Below are 15003 nucleotides of genomic sequence, written 5' to 3'. Positions count from 1 at the left end.
TGTCAGTGAAAGTGCAGTCAAGATGGTAGCTGTTTTCAGGTGTGCCTAGTGGGATGGGGATGCCTGAGATGGGGTTTCTAGCGTGTGACAGGCGCAGATTTGGTGCCCTGCTTTTCTTCACCAGGACAAAGGGAATCTTACCCGCCTCCTAGTCACCCGGTGCTGCCGTCCTGCCGACACTGTTCTCTCCCCGTGTGTTCGGGGTCAGCCGCCTTGGCCCCCCTTGCTTCCTTGGGGCTCTCACCCCGTTCCTTGGCCAACTCCCTGCTGCACATTCCTGCTTCCCACCAGGAAGTGGCCCCGGACACAGAGGCAGCCTGCTCCTGGCATCCCCTGCTTGGGGGCAGGGCATGTCCCACGTTGTGCCCTCCAGGGCGTCTGCCCTGCCAGTGGCCCCAAGTCCATTCCACTTGCTGAACACTGTCTCCTTGATCGGACTGGAGACTGTGGGAAAAACATGGTCGGGCTCCTCTGTGACCTCGTGGAGCCTCAGTTTCCTTATTTGTAAAATGGGTGCTAGGAATAAGAAAAGCTCAGACCATGTTGGGAGGAGTGTGCTGGGGTTCGAGGGGAACAAGACAGAGGAGATGTGTGCCCTGGTGATGTGCTGCTTCCTGAGTCCCTGCCCTGTGCCAGGGCTGGGCTGATCAGCACTCACCCATGTGCTACATTTGATCCCCACAGCCCTCAGTGCAGACTCACCAGCCTTGTTGATAAGCAGGAAGTGGAGGCGTGGAAGCATGTGCAGCTTGTCCACAGGGACCCAGCAGAGCCGGGGGTCAGTCTTGACTTTCTCAGGTGAGCCGCTGCTCATCCTGAGGGCTTGCTCTTCTGTTCCTCTCTGCCTCCAACCTACACAACTGTCCTGGGGTGTGGTCCCAGCTGATCCCAAGTCATACAGCGACTTTCCTCTCCCCTGAGCCATTTGCTCCTGCCTCACCCCCGTCTCCTTCGGAAGGCCCCTGAGTGCCCAGTTCATGTGCCTGTGGTGCCCTTGGGGCTTATTCTCTGGAGGAGCACAGCCATGCCTGGGCTGCCACGCAGACCTTTGGGGCAGGGATGGTGCATCTCTTGCTGAGTCCATCTGGGGGACGATGGCCTTCCAGATGCCTGATTACCGTTACCTCAGAAAGCACTGCAGAGCAGTTACCGCTTACCAAGCCCTGCTCGAAAGCGCTTCATGGCGGTTGACCCACTTGCTCCCATGAGCTGTAAGGTTCAATGATTCCCGTCCTGTGGAGGAAGAAGCAGCTGCAGGACAACTAGAAAGTGGTCCAGGTGGGATTTGAGCCTGCGCTAGCTTGCTCTCCTCACCTGTCGTGTGGCCTCTCCAGAGATGGATGAGGCGGAGGACTTGGGAGTCAAACTGTCTTCAAGGCAGATCCTTGTTCCAAAACTTAGGAACCGCGTGCCTCCCCACAGCCTCAGTTCCTTCCTCCTTGGGTGGGCAGGTTGCTGGGAGGAGTAAATGCCTGTGGGTGTAAAGTGCCCATTGTAGCTGAGTGCCACTTCATCACACCCACACGGTTGCTCTTCCTAGAGACCACATCTCCCAGCTAGCCTGGGCCCGGAGTTCTGGAACATCTGCTCCCAAGCTCTTATCCCTCTTGCCCACTTCCCAGACACACACACAGCCCACAGCCCAGGCAAGTGATGTCCAAACAGTGAATGAGAGTGCCCGCTGTGTTCCTTTTCTGGGCAGAAAACAATATTAACAGGGAGCGTGTGTGGAGGGCAGCATGGGGCCTTGTGGCTTAAGGCTGTCAGGCAGCCACAGGTGCATTTCTCAGGCAGTGTCTTGTCTGGGTCTTGGGGGATGGTTGCCGTGACCTCACCATAACCTCCCAGCACTGATATTTCTGGGATAAATTTTCATCACCGTCTGTGCTTCAGTAAGAGGCCGGATATCTGATAAGGTGGGAAGTTTCCTCCTTTGTGAGGAGAACAATCCTTTGGAGAAAAGGGTGCGGGGCTGCACTTTCCAGAGGCCCCAGGAGAGAGGAGGCAGGCAGGGTTGGCACAGAGAATGACTGAGAGGCACTGGGATGGGGGCTGGGGAAGAGGCTTCCTTCTACCACCGGTCACTGGGCTGTCAGCATTGATCGTCCCCTTCCCTCTGCCATAAGATGCAAGTTCAGAGCCAGACCACATAGACCCAGGGAGGCGGACACTTGACCTCAGTCGTGCCCTTTGTTTTCAGATTTTTGTTTTAAATTTTATTCTCTAGACATTAACAAGGAGGCATGAGTGTGGTTTGAGGACTGGGAGGGATAGGGATGCTATAGGCAGAGGCAGGGGAAGCAGCACCCAGAGCTGGGGTCCTCCCATTTTGTTGTGAGCAGGGAAACCGAGGCAAGATGCTTTGCCCCAGCAGGGACTCAGCTTGAAGGGCCTTCTCCACAGTCCATACTCAGGTCCTGGGAGGGAGGAGGAAGTGGTTTGGGGCTGTGTGGGTGGAGAAAAATGAATTTCTGAGATGTTCCTCAGGGCCCCAGAGCACTGCACTGGGCTGCCTCTGTGAAAGTTCCGGTCCCCAGGGAGGGAAGAAATTCCCAGAGCCAGGAGGCCGTGCCTGCTTCTGGCTGCCCTGGTGGGCAGGTGGAGGCTGTGGGCCAGAGGCTTACTGCAGAACATTAAAGCTGCTTGTCACAGAACCTTCATCACTGCCCCAGAGTTTTGGATTTTTTTTGTTTTTGTTTGTTTGTTTTTTGTGTGTTTTTGATTGGCTTCTAAATGGCTTGGCTTGGAGACTCAATTGGGATGATTCAGTTGTTTTTCTGCTCCAAGGTTCATGTGGAGCCAGCAGCCTGTTGCCCCTGAGGCTCTGCCTGAGGTTTGGTTCTCAGTGTGCAGAACCAGGCAGGGGCCCCCAGGGCCTGCCCACGTGGGCAAGTGGGGCCGGCATGCCGAGAGGGTCCCTGCCTCAGGCTCGGGGACACTAGGGGCCTCCTGGCCTGGTGAGTGGCTTTCCCAGGGGGGCAACACGAGCCTTCTCCTCGCTGTGGCGCCCAGAGCCACCTGACAGGTGTGGGTGCAGGGTGGGAAGGGAGGGGCCCACCGTCCTCTTCTGCTGCCCCTTCTAGCCCTGGAATTGCCCCTGAAGGGGTGCTGTGATTGTGATCCATGGGCCATGTGGGGCTGCCTCGGGGGACCTTCCTGGGGTTCTCCCTGAATAAGCTTAGGACTAAGAAGGAAGTTTCAGTCTCAACTGCTGCCTTTGCCCTGTCTTTATCAGCTGGAAGGACGGTAATTGTCCCTCAGATGTCCCCTGAATTCCCGGTCTGCACACAGACTGCTAGGAGAGTGTCCTCTGCGGCAGCACTGCTGGGTGCCCTGCCCGCGAGCTCCTGGCCAGGAGGAGAGGCCAGCAGGCAGACCCAGAACTGACCTCACGGCCCCTAAAGTGATGAGTTAGGAAAAACACAGGTCTGATCACAGCACAGCTTGGCTTAAAACATCCCATGCTTTCTTATTGCTGTGACACTGAAGGCCATGATTGCCAGCTTGACCCATGGGGCCTCGGTGATCTGCCCCACCCGCTCCTTCCCTGGCCCCCTCAGCAGCTGCCCAGGCTCTGATGTGTGTCCACCTCAGCGCCTTTGCACAAGCTGTTCCGTCAGCTCAGTGCCCCTTCCCAAGAAATGTCCTCCCTCGTGAGCTGATTAATGACACATCTCTCGTCCCAGGCCCTGCCAACTTTGCACTTTTCCTTCATGCCCTTCGGAAGTTCGTAATTCTTTATCAGTGGCTATTGTCTGTCCCTTCACTGCGGCAGGGATTGTGTCTGCTCCCAGCAGCTGGTGTTCCCATTGCCGCCTGCAGTGCCTAAGTGTTTGGGTGGCGGCGCATGCCCAGTGCTGGTCATGCGCTGGGGCGGCCTTTCATGGGGTGCCCTGATGGCCTTGCGGAGGGAGGACGTGGCTCTGCTGGGCTGCTTGGAGCGGGGAGGGAGGAGGCCAGGAGCGTTAATGAGGCAGATGGCGCTGCCTGATGGGCATGTGCGGCGATGTCTCCAGGTGTCAGCGAGGTTGGAGAGGGAGCAGCAAGGCCGGAGCTTGAGGGCTTTTTCATGCCAGGCTGTGCAGCTTGGACTCTATCCTGCAGGGAGGGTGGGGCGGGGATGGCGGTGATATGATCAGATATAATTGGCAAGAGAGAGGCCCTGCTTGGAAGGGGAGATTGCCAGTGCAAGATGAACTCTGAGCAGCTGAGGACACTGTTTACTCTTTGGAGCCCAGGTGCGTCCAAGTTGAAGAAGGAGCTCATGGCCCCAGGCTCAGTGTTGTGCCCATCCTCAGCCCCAGGTGCCCCTGCATGTGGTCCTGAGCATCCCCTCCCTCCGCTGCCATGAAGGCTGGCCTCTGAGCAGCTTGAGCCTTGCCCAGCCTACACAGGACAAAGTTGCACTCACCTCCTGGCTCCTCTCAGTGTGTAATCATCTAAAGTGGATCTGGGAAGGAAGCTCCTGCCCCGAAGGATGCCGGAAGAGAATGCACACTTGGCCACACTGGTTCTTCTCATGTTGTCCCTGGAAGGAAACCATGTGTAGCCTTCAGTAGTGCCTCCCCGACCCCACCATCCTCCTGAGGGGACAGGAAGTGAGTAGGGCTGGGAGCTGGTGGGAGGGGGTGATGTTTGGGGCCCTCCCTGCTAGTCCGCCAAGCGAGGCCAGGCTTCGCCACAGGGATAGACAGCTCCCCTCACCCAGCACAGGCTTAGCTGGGCTTGCACCACGTGGTCACGGAGGGTTAACTACAGCTTTGCAGCCTGAAATGACAGCCGTCATGGCAGAGGGATGAGAAGGCAGTGAGGCTTATGCTGGCTCTCAGTGTCTGCCCTGTGGTGACACGGACTCATCCATCTCACTGGACCTCCCTACAGGCAAGGGAACCCAATACTGCATAGTTCCTTTTTCTTCTTAAAAACAATTAAAATACCTTGTAGGGTTATTGTTAGCATTAAACTAATTAAAATTTGCGATTCCCCTAGTGCCTGGCATGGTGTGAATGGTGCACGTGTGTGTAAGGGTCAGTCAGCCACGCTTACTGTGAATGCCTGGCATGGTGTGAGTGGTGCACGTGTGTGTAAGGGTCAGTCAGCCACGCTTACTGTGAATGCCTGGCATGGTGTGAGTGGTGCACGTGTGTGTAAGGGTCAGTCAGCCACGCTTACTGTGAGTGCCTGGGGTGTGATGATGCGTACGAGCCACTCAGTACAGGCCCGGCGCCTAGTGAACCATCAGTCACCGTGGCTTATGTCAATATTATTATTACAGTGACAGTAGGACTACTCTGTCAGCCTTATCTGTGGCCCCAGCTGACTTGAGAGCTCTCAGTCCTAATTGGAGTCAGTGAGGCAGTGATTATGAAAGTGTCCCCAAACGGGAGATGCATTCTGTGCTAGGGCAGTGGAAATGCCTAAAAGGCAGGGCCAGGTGGGGGTCAGAGGGACTCAAGTGCTGTTCCTAGCCCCACCCTTCACCTGCTGGCCCACCTGGGCCTCGGTCCCCTTGCCTACCGCATAGGGAAGGTGCAGGATGGCACAGAACACCTTCAGAGCTGTTGCGTCTGCCTCCAAAGGACTACCCAAGGCCGCGGTTCACGTTTGCCACAAATGTGATTTCACAGCTGCATTGAATCAAACCCTGTTGGCCCCTGATGTTTATTGAGCAGTCGCCAGCACAGGGATGGAGAGGAAGTAGAAGAAACAAAGGTTTTTGTTGTTCTAGGTGTTCGAGTCCGACTTGGAAGATAACATCTAAACCTATCAGAGGATAAATAACACCGTAGAATCTAAGTGGGCTTGTGTCGGCTTTGCCTTTGTGCCTGCTGACCAGTGGGGTCAGAGTAAGAACCATGGGCCCCGGGAAGGGGTTTGTGTTGTCACCAGGGAGCCATGGGAGGGCTCCCTATTTTCTAAGAATGTACCACGTGACCCATTCTGCCACGGGCGTTCTCATCTCTTATGTCTTTGGTCCCCATCTCAGTCCCTGAGATAATGGAATTATTTCCCCATTTTTCAGGAGGAGACAACTGCGGCCCGGGGAAGTTAAGTCACTTGCCCAGGGTCAGGTAGAAAGTGGCAAGGTCAGGATCATAGCTCGGAGGGGCTTTGGTGACAGCTGATGGCACTGTGGGTGGTGTGAGGGTTGGTGATTTCAGGGCCACCTTGGCAGGAGGTCATCGTCTGGGATTGCCTCTGACACAGCTGGTGCCGTGTGACGATGAGACTGCTGGCCAGCAGATGCTACGGGAGGCAGAGTTGGACGCATCTGGCAGCCCTGGTCCCAGAGAAACAGATCATGTCCTGTTCTGGGGTTGCTGTGAGGTCAGCCTCTCGATGACTGCTGCCCTGGGTCATAGGCGACTCCTCCTGTGGTGGAGACAGCCACACAATCTGTCCATTGTGCACCAATGCCAGGCCAGGAATCGCCCTTTCTGCTTCGGGGAGGGTGGGACCATTCTGTGCCGTTAGCCCGTTGCAGTTGCTTCCCCTTGTGGAAAGCAAGCCTGGTCCCCAGGAAGACATGTGGCCCTCTTACCAACCAGGAACAGAGCTAGACTTTGTGCAGCCCAGTTGGGACAGGGGCAGGAGAGGGCACCCCAAAGCCTGCGCTCTGAGCCAGCATGTGGGCTGCAGCCCCTCTGCTTGTGTGTGGACGGTCAGGGTTTTTCAGCTCAAGGTCTGGGGGCATGTTGAGTTTTAGAAATATCAATGTTTATCAATAATACATTTTCCCCAAAGTTTTAGAAATAACTTTTATGCACATTATTTCTGGGTTTCTTAACCTCAACATGATTGACATCTTGGGCTGGATAATTCTGCACTGCTAGGGGCTATCCCAGGCAATACAGGGTGCTTAGTTGCCTTCCCGGCTGCTCATTACCAGATGCCAACAGCACTCCCCACCCTGCCCCTCATGACAACCAAAAATGTCTCCAGATGTTCCCTGGTGGAGGGAGCCCATGCCACCCCTGGTCGAGCGTCACTGCATTTTGTAAGAGATGGGTCCAGCAGCTCTGAGAGCTCAGGTGGGCCAGTCAAGTTGTTTCTGATTTTTGTGTGGACACTGAGGCCCCACTGGGTGCAGTTTCTGGGTTTTAGTGTTTGGAATCACACACCAAGAGGACTAACATCTTGTCACTTCTTTTCTTCAGTAATATTAGTACCTGCGGCAGAAAGGACACCCTGTTTTCTGTTTCCTCCTGGTTTGTGTGAGTGGCATGACTTCCCAACGTGTTTCTGTGCTGCCTGTGCAGGCTGTGTGCCCGTGATAAAGCCCACTGTGTCTGCCTTTGTCTTCATGTAATAAATCCCATTGCCACCTCACCAGCCAAGAGCACAGCCGGCCGGGTAAACCACGCGCTGGGCCTCTGCTGACCTCGGCCCTCTGGGATGGACAGAGTGAGGCATGAGGATATCCTCTGAGCCCCTCCCTATAGGTCCCTGCCCCAGGCCTCCCACGCCTCCTGGCAGCCAGCCCTGGATCTGGCCCTGGCCCCTACCCGTTTGTCTCTCCACTGATCTGTGAGATCATTCATCAGTAACTATTATGTTCATTCAGCAAGTCTTAGTGAGAACTTACTGTCTGCCAGAGTTCTCCTAAAAGACATTACAGATGCAACAATGAATAAGACCTGGTGGACGCAGCCCCTGCCCTGCTGGAGCTGTATCTGAGTGTGAGTGCATCGGATGATGGGAACAAAACATAGGTAAATAGAGGACAAGGTAACACAGCCCCAGTGATGGCGAGTACTAGGAAGAAACACACCGAGGCCTGGGAGAACAGGGAGGTCCTTGTTACTGATCCTCTGAAGAGCTGACATTGAGTTGAGGCCTAAAGGGCAGGACACTCAGGAGGGGAGCAGGCAAGGGAGCAGCACCTGACCAGGCCCTTCAGTGAAACAGGATGGAGGCATAAGGACCCGCAGTAGCTGGGTGCAGCTGGAGCACGGTGGATAGGGCTGTCTGCAGTGGGCTGGCAGGAGCCAGGCTGAGCCTGGGCCTGGTGGCCTCCTGGGAGCGCTGGGTAGCTCTTTGAGGACACAAAATATCGTGCCAGCTCCCCTCTTTGATGGCCCCAAGTTGAGCCACAGACAACGTGCCATTTTCTAGTCCCCAAGCTCTCTGAGGAGGAAGGGGCCCTGCCCATTGCAGCAGTCAGAGGTCAGGGAGGAGCTCCTGGGGCGGCAGGACGACTCCCACTTCTGAGCATGCCCGCAGCCACTGAAGAGGATGGCTGACATGTGGAACAGAGGCCAGTGTCATCCACGGGGTAGATGTCGTAGCCAGGTCACCCCTGGCAGCAGGATCTGTCTCTCTTATTGTGCACCTAGAGCCTGTACCAGAAACTAGAAGACTCGGGTGGCTGGATGCAGAGGTGAGGAGCCCAGGGGTCCTCTGGCCTCAGTGACCCAGTTGGCCTAGGTCAGCAGCACCACCGCAAACTGTGCCCTGATTCTGGATGACTGTTCTCTCCCTGCAGACACTAGTTTGTAAGCCCTGCTGGCTGTGAGTCACATTTGCAAACCCAGCAATGCATCACACGGACAAGGCAGGGGAGCCCATGGGCTGCCAGGAGGCATTGGCTTATTCTGGGAACTGAAAGTCAGACTCGGCCGGGCGACTGTGGGCCAGGGTGGGGTGGGTGGGGCTCCAGCAGGCATGTCACCTTTGGCCTTGATGTAGGGAAGCTGCTCTTCTGTGTATTATTGTATACAGGGGAGGGGCAGCTGCATAGGCCCACCTGAGCAGGTGCGTGGGAATGCATGTAGGGGTTCAGACAGGTGCTTAGGGGGCGTGGGGCTGCTGCTGAGGTGGGTGGAACCCAGCTCCGTGTGACCTTGGGCAGGCAGCCCCTTTCTTGCCCTCCTGTTGTTCAGCTGGTAGCTGTGACAGTGGGCCAGATGACCGACCCCTTCCAGCTCCATCTGCGTGGAAATCCCAGCTGTCCCTTCATCCTGCGGGATCCTTCCCTGGTCGCCTAGAGGACCTGACTAGTGTGATGGTGCTGTGACACAGCATGTGGCATTTGTCAGGGGAATAGCTCTGGCTGGGCACCTTGCCTGCCTCCCGCTGACAGAAGGTGGAGAAAGCTCATAAAAGTTTGGTGTGAAATCTGGGGACAGAGGGGAGGTATTGTTTTCAGTGGCAGGCCTGGAAAAAGGGGGAGTTTGCTGTCTCCAAATAATAGTGTTCTCTTTCCTTCCAGCCCTCTCCTCTGTAGCAGTCAGGGTTATTTTTTGGCCTGAACACCATTGTTTTGCATGGGTCTTCCTGCTGGCTCTTGAACAACAGTTTCCCCCCCAGAGAGCCTGTGGTTTCTCCCAGCCGTGGCTCACACCACATGCCAGGCGGCTAAGTGAGGAGCATGACACTGTAATGCCTCAGTAGCCCCCATGGGAGGATGACCCGAAGTGACCATTGTGGGTAGCACCCACCTTCAGGATGGGTGTGCCTGTGACCTGCAGGCCACAGGAGACACAGTGGGGTCTGCATGCAGAATCACATTCAGGGTGCCCCATTTGCGTGCTCGGGCCCCTGCCCTGCTCCGCCCCACACAGCCCCTTTTAATGCCTTCCCCCAATCTGAAATGGAGAATCATGTACAGTTCATTCACCCTGGAGGCTGGAGCCTGGTTGCTTTGAATCCCTTATTCTATATTCATTCTGTTCACCAGGGAGGGGATGGGTTGTTGTTGGCGTCTGCTCCAGGGAAGCTTCCCCAGCCCTTCCCAGGGCTCCAGCGTTTCCCCTACCCCTTGTTGGGCCTGGGACACCGAGTTTGACCAGCTTGCACATGGACTGTGAGTCTGATGGATCCTAAGTGTGGCTTGCCCTGCGCACCACTGCTCGGCTCTCAGCAGTCCTGAACGAGCTGGCACATGCATTTGGAACAAGTTTGTGAACAGAGTCCCTCTGCTGCTCAGCCAGCCGCTTCCCATCTTGGGGGGCAGCCATCAGTTCCAGTGGCCTGGAGCCTTTCCAGGGGGTTCTGTGGGACTGAACAGAGACAGTCTTCCTCGCTGCACAGCCCCTGTACAATGGGGCTGTACGGTATGCCCTGGAAGTGATCTCATCTTAGTCTTTTGCAGGCAGCCTCATTCTAACTGCTGCATGTTAAACGGCCTCCCTGTCCTTTTTACCAAGCCAGCTCTCTACTGGTGTATACCTAGGGCATTTCTGATCATGTTTTAGAAACATGCTGTAGTGAATAGCCTAGTACATGTATTTTTGGGTGCACAGGTGAGGAATTCTGTAGGATAAACACCTAGGAATCGGGATGCTGAGTTTGCGCATTCTGCATTTTGGCTGTTGTCCGGTTTCTCTCTGCAGAAGCAGTACCAGTTACACTGCCACCAACCAAGGACTGGTCCCTTTCCACCACCTTAGGAAGCGTCTCTAATCAGTTTACCTTGGCATGGAGTCACAGAGTGTTGGAGGGTGCCAGGATCCTGGCAGTCTCCTCCTCTTGCCTGTTGGTTTTGCTGCTGGGAGCTCCAGGCCCTGGGAAGGGTGGTGTCATGCTGCCTCACTTGGCTTGCCCGGACCCTGAATCTGGGCCATCTTGCCCCTGTCTGGTGCTGTGTTCTCAAACTTCACTTTTCTCTTCCGCACTCCATGTCTGACCACCCCAGCCTGAGCTCATGGGTTTAAATATTGGCTCACAGGAGCTGATAGACCTAGAGGCAGATTGCATCAGAGTTTTCTTTTTGCCAGCTCTACCAAATCACAGAGATCACTGTATAAAAGATGAAGGCAGCCCATCAGTTCTTCCTGAACAGTGAGGTCCAGCACACATACCCCTAAGGCCAGCACCACATCTGACACACCACCAAGACCGCATCCATCCCCAGCTCCATCCTGTGGCCTTGCAGGCTGCTGGACTGGTCACTCCATAACCCATAGCTGTCCTTGTCACTTCCCAGCTCAGGACCCTGTTGCTTTAGGGTCAAGTCCAAACTCCTCAGCTGGTCCGTCTCCTGCTCTCTACCTTGTCCTCACTTTTCATGTTGAGACTGCCGTCCGCCCCAGCCCTGCCAGGCCCCCAGCAGGCCCGTGAATGTGCTGGACTCCCTCACCCCAGACCTCTGCTTTTGCTGTCCCCTCTGCTTGGAGTACCCTTTCTCCCCTGGCCCATGCCTGTGGCCCTTTGTGGTTGACATCACCAACCTCAGCAGGCTCCTCCCCAGCCCCCAACCCTGTGCCCCCCGCACCCACACTCCTCTGCTCCTTTATTGCTGGTCAGCCCCACGCCTCTCCTTTGCTCAGCCACATGGCCGCCACTTAGGAGCCTCTGGGAGGGTGGGGAGAATGTGGCTGCTCTATAGCTGAATAGGTGACATCCATCACCACACACGCACGCACACACACACACTCATATGCTCTCACACTCATTCTCACACACACACACATATGCTCTCACACTCATACACACACACGCACTCACTCACAAGCTCCCACATACACGTGCTTCTCAGAGGCTGTCACTCTTTCTGCTCTCGTACTGTCTGGGAGGCCTCAGGCTGAGTGCTCAGACGTGGGAGATTTCTCTGGAATACAAATGAGGGTTGCTTAAGACCCAAGTGTCTGCTGATGGGGGAGCTCAACTCTCCCAAGGAGCCGTTTTAGAAAAGTTAGGAAAGAAGGAGTGAGGAAATGGCCTCAACACACTAGGACTGAATCCAGGCAAAACAGAGACCGCAGGGAACCGCAGCCTCAGAGGACAGCTTTGCTTGGGCTGGTGGTCGGTGCCTGTCGCCAATGCACAGCTGTCCACTGCCCACCAGGGTGTGCCTCCTGCTGGCCTCCCTCCCTCACCTGTGGTGGGCATGGATCTCGCTGGCTTGCAGGCGACTGGGATGCGTGCAGTGACCATGCCGTGGGTGTGCTCTGAGGACAGCAGGCCCTGGCTCCTGCGTTTGAATGTCTCTGGGCCTGGGAGGCATCTGGCTCCGTTCAGGGGCCTAACAGCTCTGTTTTTGGTTTGTTCGTCACATCACAGAATCAAATAATCTAGAACTTAAGAGGCAGAAAGGATGTTATAAATGAATTATTCTAGCCCACACATCTTACAGATGGGAAACTGAGATACAGATAACTTAAGTGACTTTCAGAAACACACATAAAGTGAATGGCAGTTCTAGGACTTGTAACCCAAGTTTCTTGACTCTGCATTTGTTTCAACTTGCACAGTGCCCCAGGACCCACGCGCTCGGGTTAAGTTAGCCAGGTGTAGCTGGGCTGCAAAAGATTATCTGACAGTGATGGGCAGGCAGAAGCCTTGGCTGACTGTCAGGACTGTTACATAGGTTGCACGCTGCCCAGCCCAGTGGTAGGCTTTGTGAATGGCACCCTGGGTAGCTAGGCTTGGTGGTCCTGTCCCAGCGTACAGTGGATGCTGCTGCAACCTCCTTTTGGCTCTTGAGAGCCCACCTCCAAGGTTTACCTGCATGCATCTCCAACTCCAACCCTATGCCAGCCTGGCCACCTGGCACATTCTGTTGCACCTAGGCCTAGTGTGGATTTCCCAGGACTATCTGTGGCATGTGGTTTTCTGTAAGCTGTAATCAACAGGCAGGTGTTCTGGGAGGTGCCAGGAAGACTTCTTCTGGGGGATGTTCGGCTGGCCTTGGTTGATGACAAGTTAATCAACAGGGGTTGGTTTCACGGTTGCAGTGGTCTGCCAAGAGGGTTCATTACTTGTCCTTCCCAGAAAGCATTGCTTGGCCTGGCCCCACCCCCTCCCCATGTGACCTGACCTCCCAGGGAGAGGCTTTGCTTTCTGCAGAACCACACTTTCTGCCTTCGAAAGTACAACTGCTCTTGACACTGTTATGTCTGTTAGTCCTCCCCCTGCAGGGGCCACTCCATTCAGCAGCTGCCTTGGGAGCCCTCCTGTGCATAAGTGCAGTGCTGGCCCTGACACGCTCTTCCCCCTGCGCCACGCGGACCCTCCTCACAGAGGCCCTGTGGACTGTGGCCTTCAGTTATGTCATGTATTTACTGTCCTAAGGGGTGTGTGTCTTCATTTGCTTTCATCTGTCTTGCTCCAGGGCTGGGAAGAGATGCAGAGCCTCTGGTCCAGCTGTGGCTTTGAGAGAACAAACAACCAGTGAGGACCATGGGTTGGGAGGAACAGTGGAAAGGGAGCTGCAGTCTCAGCTCTGCCACTCTCCCTTGCGACCTTGGCCTCGCTACCACTGCCTTTCCCCTTTCCAAAAAGATGGGGGCTGGATGAAGGGTCCATCTGGGTTTTGCTAGTTCTGACCATCTTTGCCTTTCCCTCTGGGAAAGGAAATCGCAAACTGGATCTACTATTTTTTTTCTTGGATGCTCTACCTCATGCAGACCCCAAATGGAACACACCCGGCCTCCCTGGACTGTCAGGCTGGTGGCCTCGCCTTGGGGTAGTGAACATGAGAAAGGCTTCCCTTTTTCCTGAAATGCCCCAGAGCAACCCTGGCCCTAGTTAGAGTTGAGATGCTTTTCATTTCGCCAGGCCTTCCATGCCTTGGGTCTTTGACTGGAGGGCTCTGGAGCCAGAGGCCCTGGGTTCAGACTCCATCTTGGCCACTGCTCGCAGGGAGAGCCCTGGCCACCTACTAGGTGCTTTGAGCCCTACTTTGTTTTCTTTTTTCTTCTTATTTTATTTTGAGACAGGGTCTCACTGTAATGCCCCGGCTGAGTGCAATGTCGTGATTACTGCTCACTGGAGCCCCGACCTTCCTGGCTCAAGTGATTCTCCCACCTCAGCCTCCTGAGTAGGTGCGCACCACCATGCCTGGCTAATTTTTAATTTTTTGTAGAGACAGGGTCTTGCTATGTTGCCCAGGCTGGTCTTGAACTCTCAGACTCAAGCAGTCCACTTGCCTTGGCCTCACAGAATGCTGGAATTACAGACGTGAGCCACCACACCTGGCCAGGCCTAGTTTCTTTGATTGTCAAATGAGGCTGCTAACGGGATCTACATAGGGTTGTTTTGAGGGGGAAACATGTCCATTCCTGCAAGGTGTATAGGTCTGTGACCCGTGCGTGGTGAGCATGTTTATAACTCACCCTGGAATCTTGGCAGGACCCCCGTCAAGATGCCAAGGCTTCAGGAACCAGAGACTTCCAGGGTTTCACCCGGCGCTGGGTACGGAGGAGCTGGTGGAAAGGCCAGGCCTTGTGGCCCTCAGCTGGGCCTGGCTGTGCTCTCAGGAGGAGCCAGGGGAGTGAAATTGTGCTGAGTGAGCCCAGGGTCGCTTCCTTTCCCATGAAAGCCCCTGTGAGTACTTTTAACAGCCATAAGGAAGTAATTTCAGTTCTTCTGTCAAGGGTAGAATCACTGGTGTTAGTGGGGTAGCTGAGTGTTAACTGAACACACAGGCCCTGATGCAGTGGATCCTAGAGTCGGCTGGGAAGTTTCCTCTGGGTGTGGCACGCTGGGTTCGCCTTGGTGCTGACACCTATCTCCTTCTGGAGCCAGGTGGTGATCAGGATTCTAGAATCCTGTTGGGTTCAGTACAGGAGGCTGTTGTCATCCCCAGCTGATGCTGCTGTGGCCATGGGGGAGGTGACGGAATTGTGCCCCCTCTGATGCTTGATCTATTCCACGTGGAAAGCTGGAGTCCCGAGAAGCAAACTCCAGGCAGGCCCACGCTGACTTTCAGGCCTGTGCTTGCCGTTTTTTGTTTGTTTGTTTGTTTGTTTGTTTTTCCTGAGACAGATTCTTGCTCTGTCACCCAGGCTGGAGTGCAGTGGCACAATCTCAGCTCATGCAACCTCTGCCTCCCAGGTACAAGCGATTCTCCTGCCTCAGCCTCCTGAGTAGCTGGGATTACAGGCGCCCACCACCATGCCCGGCTAATTTTTGTGTTTTTAATAGAGACGGGGTTTCACCATGTTGGCCAGGCTGGTCTCTAACTGGCTGGTTTTGAACTCCTGACCTTGTGATACTCCCGCGTCAGCCTCCCAAAGTGGTGGGATTACAGGCGTGAGCCACCGTGCCCAGCCTTTTTTT

General features: G+C 55.2%; 1 protein-coding gene across 6 annotated transcripts in view, besides 7 other annotated features; it reads left to right on the top strand.

Annotated features, from left to right (window-relative positions):
- ITPK1 (inositol-tetrakisphosphate 1-kinase) overlaps positions 1-15003 on the top strand; it is a 179012-nt gene that overhangs the window by 99932 nt on the left and 64077 nt on the right. The gene's annotated exons all lie outside the window — the stretch shown is intronic.
- Positions 413-912: an enhancer, noted in NCBI's record as "H3K4me1 hESC enhancer chr14:93481427-93481926 (GRCh37/hg19 assembly coordinates)". NCBI's record gives its function as "activates a minimal SCP1, AML or CMV promoter by ChIP-STARR-seq in naive H9 embryonic stem cells {active_cell/tissue: H9 hESC(naive)}" and the evidence as "EXISTENCE:reporter gene assay evidence [ECO:0000049][PMID:30033119]".
- Positions 913-1414: an enhancer, noted in NCBI's record as "H3K4me1 hESC enhancer chr14:93480925-93481426 (GRCh37/hg19 assembly coordinates)". NCBI's record gives its function as "activates a minimal SCP1, AML or CMV promoter by ChIP-STARR-seq in naive H9 embryonic stem cells {active_cell/tissue: H9 hESC(naive)}" and the evidence as "EXISTENCE:reporter gene assay evidence [ECO:0000049][PMID:30033119]".
- Positions 4175-4674: an enhancer, noted in NCBI's record as "H3K4me1 hESC enhancer chr14:93477665-93478164 (GRCh37/hg19 assembly coordinates)". NCBI's record gives its function as "activates a minimal SCP1, AML or CMV promoter by ChIP-STARR-seq in primed H9 embryonic stem cells {active_cell/tissue: H9 hESC(primed)}" and the evidence as "EXISTENCE:reporter gene assay evidence [ECO:0000049][PMID:30033119]".
- Positions 4675-5176: an enhancer, noted in NCBI's record as "H3K4me1 hESC enhancer chr14:93477163-93477664 (GRCh37/hg19 assembly coordinates)". NCBI's record gives its function as "activates a minimal SCP1, AML or CMV promoter by ChIP-STARR-seq in primed H9 embryonic stem cells {active_cell/tissue: H9 hESC(primed)}" and the evidence as "EXISTENCE:reporter gene assay evidence [ECO:0000049][PMID:30033119]".
- Positions 6401-6902: an enhancer, noted in NCBI's record as "H3K4me1 hESC enhancer chr14:93475437-93475938 (GRCh37/hg19 assembly coordinates)". NCBI's record gives its function as "activates a minimal SCP1, AML or CMV promoter by ChIP-STARR-seq in primed H9 embryonic stem cells {active_cell/tissue: H9 hESC(primed)}" and the evidence as "EXISTENCE:reporter gene assay evidence [ECO:0000049][PMID:30033119]".
- Positions 7256-7550: a silencer, noted in NCBI's record as "tiled region #15213; HepG2 Repressive non-DNase unmatched - State 23:Low, and K562 Repressive non-DNase unmatched - State 7:EnhWF". NCBI's record gives its function as "represses a minimal TATA promoter and a strong SV40 promoter by Sharpr-MPRA in HepG2 and K562 cells {active_cell/tissue: HepG2 | K562}" and the evidence as "EXISTENCE:reporter gene assay evidence [ECO:0000049][PMID:27701403]".
- Positions 8501-9412: an enhancer, noted in NCBI's record as "H3K4me1 hESC enhancer chr14:93472927-93473838 (GRCh37/hg19 assembly coordinates)". NCBI's record gives its function as "activates a minimal SCP1, AML or CMV promoter by ChIP-STARR-seq in primed H9 embryonic stem cells {active_cell/tissue: H9 hESC(primed)}" and the evidence as "EXISTENCE:reporter gene assay evidence [ECO:0000049][PMID:30033119]".

This window comes from Homo sapiens, chromosome 14 (genome assembly GCF_000001405.40).
Source record: "Homo sapiens chromosome 14, GRCh38.p14 Primary Assembly".
NCBI lineage: Eukaryota > Metazoa > Chordata > Mammalia > Primates > Hominidae > Homo > Homo sapiens.
The sequence above is the reverse complement of the archived record's forward strand: the minus strand, read 5'-3'. Positions and strand labels throughout refer to the sequence as shown.